The sequence below is a fragment of the Homo sapiens genome, chromosome 10 (genome assembly GCF_000001405.40).
Source record: "Homo sapiens chromosome 10, GRCh38.p14 Primary Assembly".
Taxonomy (NCBI): domain Eukaryota; kingdom Metazoa; phylum Chordata; class Mammalia; order Primates; family Hominidae; genus Homo; species Homo sapiens.
Window position 1 is genome coordinate 131,742,665 of NC_000010.11, and position 9,320 is coordinate 131,751,984.

At 59.0% G+C, this 9,320-nt stretch overlaps 1 annotated feature.

Moving 5' to 3' along the window:
- Nucleotides 536-635: an enhancer, noted in NCBI's record as "active region_4219". NCBI's record gives its function as "activates an Ori minimal core promoter by ATAC-STARR-seq in GM12878 lymphoblastoid cells {active_cell/tissue: GM12878}" and the evidence as "EXISTENCE:reporter gene assay evidence [ECO:0000049][PMID:35858748]".

A 9,320-nucleotide genomic window follows, 5' to 3' on the forward strand; every position in this document is an offset into this window, starting at 1 on the left:
GGGCCTCAGGACGTCTCCTCCAAGCTGGGTTGATGATGGCTGTGCCCAGAGGAACACTGTGCTCCCCACACCTGGCTTTCCCTGCGAGGACACGGCATCTGGGCTGGGCACGCGTCTGGGGCCCCTCCAGGCCTGGCGAACACTGTGCTCCCCCCACCTGGCTTTCCCTGTGAGGACACGGCCTCTGGGCTGGGGGCACGTCTGGGGCCCCTGTGGGCCTGGCAGGTCCTTGTGGGAGGGTCTGGGGACCAGCACCCAGTGCACTTTGGGATAAAACTTCTTTGAAAATTTTCTCGCCCTTTTCTGGCATCATGGACCCTCCCCAAAGACTGAAAGCCACCACAGTGAAGGAGAATCACCAATGATCGGGGCTCATCCTGGAGCCCCTTCCTCCCGAAGTGGCAGAACCATGTCCAGGAAGGAGCCAAGGGGTGCTGGGCTCCCCCACCACGGCCCCACCCTTGCCCTCCCTTCCTCCACAGCCTCCCCTCCACAGACAGCCAGGGACATGGCCAAAATGGGGATCCCTCTCATCTGGCAGTTTCAATTCTGTTCCCATGGAAACTGCTATCTGAATGTGGGCAAGAAAGAGGAGCCATATTCTTTAAAATAACAATCACTCGGAAACTTTCATGGGCCTGTGTTTTCAGTTACCCGTGGTTTCCATGGAAACTCAAGCCAAAAACAGAGCTAAATAAAGAAGGCACTGGGTTTCCCCTGCTACCAGCCCCCCGGGGAACTGTGGAAAGCCACAGCCCTGCCCCACAGGGAGTTGCTCACCACTGCTGTACAAGGATGCAGGACCAGCCCTCCCAAATCAGCCACGGGGCTGCCTTCCTCCTAAGCGCATATGGGTGTGGGAGACGCAGAGAGGGAGGGAAGGAGAGGGGCCACAGCTGCTTCCTGTCCCTGCAATCAGCCTCTCCTACCCCAGACTCACATGGGGAAGGCACACTGGGCTGTGGGTGCCCCAGGCCGCCCATGCCGGCAGAGGTCACTCACTGGGGGGTTAAGGGCCCATCTCAGCATAGTCAAGGCTACCTCACCGCTCCCCTTTTCTGAAAGTCGCCATGGGGCAGGGAGGGATCTGCAGCAGGCGGGGAGGCCTCTGGTGGAGGGCATGTAAGCCAGGCCAGCATCTCCCAGACAGCCCTGCACAGTGAGCCGAGCATGGGCTTGCTTTGACAGGCTCTTGCTGCTGCCCAGAGACCTTGTCCAAGAGCTCCTACACTGAGGGCTGCGGACCCCATGTCTGTTTTCCACCGAGGAAGTGCTTGGGAAATACCCAGGGAACGGACAGCACAGAAAATCCCCTGAAGATGCGACATGCAGGGGCCCCCGTTGCTTCTCCAGCTGCAGTTCCCGAGAAGAGGCTGGTTGTGCAGGAGCCAGGGCAGCTGGGGCCCCCTGGCCAACTCGCTGCCGTCCTGCGCAGAACACTGGCTCAGCAGCCAGACGCAGCCTACCCTGGCGGCCCTGCCCGGCCTGAAAGGAAAGTCATCTGCACATTCTCTCGCATCCTACCTGCTTTCTCTTTCTTCTTCCGTTTAAACAATGCTCAGGACACCGGCTAGACCGTGTTTTCTTTTGTTTTGTTTGTTTTTTCTTTTAATAATGTCTACATTCCTTAAAGCAGTGCTTTTATCTCAAAGCAACTGGACACGTGGTTACGTTACTCTCAATTTCCTGCCACCATCATCACATTTGAAAGATGCTGGAGTCATGAGCCTGTGAACTCTCGTGACACACCCACTCGGGTGCTGGAGTCATGAGCTGGTGAACCCCTGGGACACGTCCACATGGATGCTTCTCAGCTCTCACCCCTTCAGTGCCAGATCTGTGCTGGGCCCTCTTCTGCAGGGCCTCAGACTCTGCGTGGTCCAGAGAGGATGCCGTCATAGCCAAGCTCAGGCGGAGGCCTGGGGTCCGTCCCAGCTGCATCCCCCACTGGAAGGAGACAGGTGGGAAACAGGCTCGGCACCAGCCTGCCCGACTGCAGAGCAGGAATGCTTTTCCCTGCGGAGAACACTCCTCAGACCTCCACTCTTTCACTAAAATTTGAAGTAAACATCTGTATTTAACTCATCAAGCCTCGTCACAGACGCTTCACCTTCAGTCTCCCAGGAAGATACATTTTTGGGGTAATAGGATGGGAAGCACAGGAGGACAGGAGCATGGGAGGACGGGAGGATGGGAGCCTGGGGGGACAGGAGTACGGGGGCACGGGAGGACAGGAGCATGAGAGGACAGGAGTTTGGGAGGACAGGAGCCTGGGAAGATGGGAGCACAGGGGCCACGGGAGGACACTAAATGGGACAGGAGCACGAGAGGATGGGAGCACAGGAAGACGGGAGGATAGGAGCATGGGAGGACAGGAGGATAGGAGCACAGGGGGCATGGGAGGATGAGAGAATGGGAGGATGGGAGCACAGGGGGCATGGGAGGACACTAAATGGGAGGACAGGAGCATGAGAAGACAGGAGCACAGGAGGATGGGAGCACAGGAAGAAGGGAGGATAGGAGCACAGGGGGCATTGGAGGATGGGAGCATGGGAGGACAGGAGCATGGGGAATGGGAGCACAGGAGGAATGGTAGAACGGGAGGATGGGAACACAAGAGGACAGGAGCACTGCAGGACGGAAGCACAGGAGGATGGGCTCATGGGAGGACAGGAGCCCGGGAGATTGGGAGCACAGGGGCATGGGAGGACGGGAGCACAGGAGGCTGCCTGCAGTGATTTTGTTATTCCCTTAACTTAAAACCCAGGACGTGGGACCAGATGTTTGAGAGACACATTAAAACCAGTGAGAATTAAGCATAGGGAGCGTGATCAAAGCTCATGCCTCTCCCAATACCATTTTGGTTCCTAACAGTTAGAAACAAAAAGACGTCCCTATTCTGAGGCATGAAGTATGAATGTGAATTTAGATGAAACTTTTAAATTGATCTTAAAGGACAGACAAATGTCAATGAACAGCAGAGTTTACAAATTGCAAGACAGAGAAGAAGCTTCACCAGCCTGCGGGAAGATGCCTCGGCAGCGGCGGGAGTGCGTTTCCTGCACATATTCACCCATCACTCATCTTTCATCCGTGCTCCCTGAGCAGGTGCTAAGGCAGAGGGTGCTCGCTCAGGGCGAGAGGCAGGCAGAGGCTGCAGTGCCGGCGGGGCAGGGTGTGGCTCCTCTGCAGGGCCACGGTGGACAGAGGTGAGGTACCAGGAGGCTTGAAGGAGGGGTGTCTGACCCAGCCCGGGCACCACAGAGGACTGCCTGGAAGGAGCTACCACTGTGAGCCCTGACAGAAAAGAAGGCCTAGCCCAGAAAAGAGGCAGTGTCGTCGGCAGATCCCAGCCCAGTCAGGCCTGGCGTCAAGAGATGCCTTCAAGATGTAGGCAGCGTAAAGACCTATACACACACACACACACACACACGCAACACACAACACACAACACATACACAGACAACACAACACATACAGACACACACTTATAACATGCACAAACAGCACACACACAACTCCCACACACACATATGGATACATACAGAGGTGGCTCCAACAGGATGGGCTGGCCTGGATCACAGGTCTGTGTGCCCTGCGGCGGGGGGAGCCTTGGGCGGCGGACACAGGGTCTTATTCTCCAGCCACCCGGTGCAGTGGGGACTGTGTGCCCTGCGGCAGGGGGAGCGGCAGACACAGGGTCTCATTCTCCAGCCACCTGGTGCGGCGGGTTGGTCCCTGAAGGATGTGTGACCATGGGTTGGGCTTCCAGGGCTCTCTGCAGGCATCCAGAACAGATCCTCAGGAATGTTCAGCTTCGTATTCCGCCCCCCACCCCCCAAGCCAAAGAGGGGCTGCCGGCTTCACCCCACAGGCCCCCTCAGCCCTGACTTCCCACGGGGGCTGCAGCAGGGTTGCCCGGGACGTTGACTCGTGGGTGAAGAACCTGTCCCCGGAACCCCACTGGGACGCGGCCTTGGCAGAGGACCCTGGACCACTGCTGGGGACAGAGCTGGGGGGAGGGGACAGGGCCATGTGCCCACCGTGGGGGACAGAGCTGGGGGGAAGGGAAGGGGCCGTGTGCCCAAAGCTGTGGACAGGGCTTGGGGGGGATGGGACCATGTGCCCACCACTGGGGACAGAGCTTCTGGGAGGAGACAGGGCTGCTCCTCCTCCTGCTCCTCCTCCTCCTGCTCCTCCTTCTGCTCCTCCTTCTGCTCCTCCTCCTGCTCCTCCTCCTCCTGCTCCTCCTCCAGCTCCTCCTCCTCCTGCTCCTCCTTCTGCTCCTCCTTCTGCTCCTTCTTCTGCTCCTCCTCCTATACTTTCTCCTGCTCCTCCTCCTGCTCCTCCCCCTGCTCCCCCTCCTGCTTCTCCCATCCTCCTACATGCTGTGACCAAGCAGACCAGGTTTCACCTGGTCATCCCCAGCCACTGCTATTACTGAACTCACTGAGGGCCTGGAACTGCAATGAGTGGTCACGGCCCACAGAACAGAAAGGGCCCCTGATACCCACACACTTCCTAGGGATGGAGCAGGGAAAGATATCTTCTTTTACAGCCCTACAATATTAATGAGAGTTCTGAGGAACTTTCCCATTTCTCTTAAGGGACGGGCAACCGTCACCCATCAGCACTGCCTCCTCCACCGGGACAGGAGGAGCTGACTGCTGGGGGCTTTCAGAGCATCTGCCCCGACGGCCTCCGGGCCCAGCCACCACACCCACCGCCCTCAGCGGCATCCTCCAGTGTTCAACACTGTCCCCAGCTGAGGCTGAAGGTCCCATCAAAGAGAAATGGAATCCAAGGGCTGGAGAGGGAGGGAAGATGCCGCTGGGACAGCGTGTGAGTGGCCAGCCAGGGGACGCACCTCCTGATCCGGCCATACACAAGGCCACCATGGGGTGAAATGAAGGCTAACGTGGCAGTCAGAGCCACGAATGAGGAGTGGCTCAGCCACGTACAGACGGGGTGGTCAAGTTTGAATAACTTGCTAAGAAATGGTAAACCCAACTCAGGAAGTCTAAACCAGGAAGGCAGCTGACATCTAACAGGGCGCTCATGGCGGGCTCTGTGCCCTCATTTGCTCATCTGTGAAGTGGGGATGAGGATGACAAGCTTGTGGGCTTGGATGGTTGATTCACTTTCTCCAGCTCACACAGGGCACAGGTGCTGACTGGGGATTCAAGCCCCATGGTCAGGCCCCAGGGTGGGGACGCTGAACCAGGTGCCCTGTGGGTTCTCCGGACAAAGCCAGGGTCTGGGCTAGAGCAGATGTCCAGACGTGGAGTCCAATAAGACGGTCGGGCGGGGCTCTGATGGGGCCACATGGGCAAGCATCTGACCTTTCCTTCCCGGGCCTCCGTGCGCACAGGCCCCAGCCTCCCGCTTTAGCCCCTTCAACTGCCTGTCATTTCTGAAACACACTCCCCTTCCCCGGCTTCCAGCTCCACACTGCACCCCTCCCACCTTAGCTCAGAGAGAGGCTGCTCCCTCAGAGGCCTCCCTGTGAGCCTGCCTGGGGCACTGGCACTTCCCTGCTGGGCCAGAGACCACACAGGCCTTACCAGCTCCTTCCTCCCCACTGGAAGCTGATGTGGAGGACAGGGCTGCGGCCGCCTGGCCCACTGCTGACCCCAGCTCCGCAGGAGGCCTGGTGCAGACATGGCAGGTACTCAGGGAGTGCTGCAGCTGGCACTGGGTGAACCAGGGCAAAAACAGTGGGCACCATGGTGGGTAATACCTAGCAGAGGGCCCGGCACAGCAGCCACGGGGGCCAGTCAGTGGCACAGCCACCGCCATCACGAACCACAGGGCCAGTGGCACAGCCACCGCCATCACAAGACATGAAGGGGACCTGAGTCTCTGCAGAAGAAAACACTGCTCCTCACGCAGGAAATGCCAGGCTCAGCTGGTGCCTTCAGGATGCAGGCAGCGTAAAGACCTACACAAACACACACACACACACATGCAACATACAACACAAAAACACACACATAACATACAACACATGCACACAACACACACATATAACACACAACAGGCACACCCAACACACACAGACACACACACAGGGACACAAACATACCTAACACATATGTGCACACACACTGGACACACACCCTGCATTCCAGGCTGGCCCCTTCTCTGCCAACACAGCCACAGCTCCACGGAGCTCCCACAGGCAGATGGCCCAGCCGAGTCACTCCACCTGCTTCAAGCAGAGGCCGGAGCATCCTCACCAAAGGACAGGAAGGCGCAGGCTGACACCACGCCTGCAGGGCAGGAGGCTGCTCCACAGGACAGGGATTATGCAGGATCAGGAAGGGAGCTGTTTAACACCAGTGGGCGGAACTCGCCGCAGGAATGCAGGACTCTGACCCCCATAATCGGGCGGCAGGTCAGCGGTGAGGGAGCTGCCCCAGGCGTCAGCTGAGGCAGGTGGGGGACTGGGTCAGAGCTGACCTTCACCCGAGCCGAGGGCCAAGGCTTCACCGGGAGCCCAGCGCCCCTTTTGTGTGGCCAAGTCAAGGGCGGGCAGGGCTCTGTGCCTCCCCTTCCCACTCCCAGCTTCAGTGAGTTTTGGGGGAGGGGTATCATCTACAGCTCCAAGCTTCGGAGGGCACGCAGAGCAGCATGCAGAGCAGCATGCAGAGCAACACGCAGAGCAGCATGCAGAGCAACACGCAGGGCAGCATGCAGAGCAACACACAGAGCAGCATGCAGAGCAACACGCAGAGCAGCATGCAGAGCAGTGTTAGCACAAGAGTGTCCCACAGCTCCCCAGGCCATCACCTGGACCCAGGGACAGCAGGAGAAGGAAAAAGAGGCAGCCACGAGGGAGGAAGGGCCTCTGGCTCCAGGTGGCCTGGCCGTCGACCCGCAGGGAAAGCACTCAGAGTGTCACGAGTCCCCTGGGCTTCCTCCTCCGGGAGCAGCCACGGGCAACACAGCCCCGCCCGTAGGTGAACGTGCCCCCGGCTCTGCCTCAGCATCGCACGGAAGACCAGCTCGTCTGCCGCCAGGCCTGGGGAGGAGGTGGGCGCCTGCTGGGGAGGGGCCAGCATGGGGGCACGTCCCACAGCCTTCGAGTCAGGCTTGTGTTCTGTATCCCCTCCTCATCAGAGCAATCAGAGCAGCCTGCTCTGCGCACACAAACCCTGCGTGCGTGTTAGAGGAGAACGTCCCTGCCAAGTGGGAAGTGGCCACCTGCCACCACCTCCCCACAGCTGGGCATCCACTCTTGAGGATGGGCCGCTCACCAGCCTTTCCAGCAGGGCTCTGGGTTCCAGAGTGGCAGCTTGCCTGGCTGTGGGCCTGGTCTCACGTTCACAGCCTGGCGCTGCCACCCACAGGGTCCTGGGAAAGCTGGGATGGGACTCCATGGGGCCTGGGCACATAATGGCATTATACTGGGGAGCCACTTGGTAACTCAGAGCTCTGGCCACCCTCCTTGAAAGTGGACACCCGGCCTTTTCCCCTCAGCCGCTCTCTTTCCCTTTCTCCCTCTAACACACACACACACCAGATTCTGTAAGGAGGGCACACGATTTTCTTTGACTTACTCAGTCTGGTCATCATCTCCTCAAAAAAATATATAAATACCTCCCAACGGCTCCCCAGCCTGGAGCTGAGGCACGACAGGGGGCTGGGGAAGAGGGCGGCCACGTGTTGAGAGTCGCCTGCGCATGGAGAGCGCCTTGCAGCCAGCTGGGTCAATGCTGAGAGACCTCCCTGCAGACAGTGTGCCTCCCACGGCCTGCACCTGGGCTGCCCCACCTGCCCTCCGTGTGCCTGTGCACAGCGGCTCTGTCCGGTGAGGAATTCTGGTGGAACCAAAGAAATCCCTGTTGAAGCTGTGGTTTGACCTTGTGTGGAAAGAGATTGAGCAGAGATCCCAGAGGATCCCTCATTCTGCTTCACTGGGGAGGGAGCAGCCCTGCAATTGTGCAGCGAGTGCCCCACCAGGGCAGGGGCACACACCACGGACACCGACCCTCCCACTAGAGGGACCACCAAGGTGGCAGCAGAATCTGCCCCTCAGCGCACTGGGCCAGAAGCAGACAGCTGGTGGGACACAGCCTGTGTCCAGGAAGTCTGGGGCCCCGAGGCTGGCTCTGTGCCTGGTTGCAGCACTCGGCCCCTGCCATGCAGCCACAGGAGGCTGGCCACAGAGGAGGCCGGTCAAGAGGACGGAGAGAGGGCCTCTCGGTCCCGGATTCCAGGATCAAGAGGATGGAGAGGGAACATCTAGGTCGCGGATCCCACTGTCTTGAGGTCAACTTCATTCCTATCCTACATTCTTGAGACCTCTCTTATAATAAATAAAGCGTCCTTATAATACATGGCTTATTTTGCTTTAGCTGGTTTGGTTTCTAGCACCTGTAGCCAAGAGTCCCAACCAGCACCTGTAGCCAAGAGTCCCAGCCAACCTGCGCCATCCTGACGCCGCCGCCCTCTCTGGCCTGCTCGGCAGTGGCCTCCTCCCTGTCCCTGGAGCCTCAGGATGGAAAGCTGAAGTGGGCTCACCCCCCGGGACCCGGCTGCAGCCCCTCCCCGAGGCCTGCCTGGTCTCCTTCCACCAAAGCTGCACCGTCTGTCAGTGAAGCACAAACAGTTCAGGAGCAAGGCGCTGCAGGCCCATACATTTCCTTCCAAATACTTATTCACTAAAGCACATGAAACAGGAAAAACAGCATCATCCAGTATGTAAAGGTTTATGAAATGATTTTACAATCCTCAGGCAATTCCAGGGTTTCTGTCCACTCCCTAGCTGTTGCCACACGCACAGCCTCTGACCTTCCTCAGCCTCCCACTGGGGCCTAGGGACCGGAGCTGCCCGTGGAGCACCTTTCCACCCTCTCCCACCTGACCTCTGGCCTCCCGGCTCCAGGCTGGCTGACATATGCAGGACCCCAGGGGCTGGGGTGAGCCCCTACTGCCTTTGATGTCAGCCTGTCCCCCTCCAGGAGGCTGCTCTCCCTCTGGCCCTCCCCCACCATGCCCTTTTCTTCCCACATTCACTTACCCTGGGTGCCCCAAGCTGTTCAGACAGACAGCGTGACTCCAACACACCAGAAAAGACAAAGGAGTCACACAGAGCCAGAAAATCCTCCCAGAGCCTCTGCTTCTGACCTCTGGGGCCAACCCAGCCCCACGGGGCTCTGGGTTCTCAGCTGCAGACAGCGGGGCTGTGGTCACACGTGCCCTGCTTGCTAGGGTGCTGACCCTGGGCAGCGAGGCCTCCCTGGTCTCCACCAATGGTGCAAATCCCATAGCAGGGACCAACAGAGCTGGAATCACCACATCCAGGGGCCTGGGGG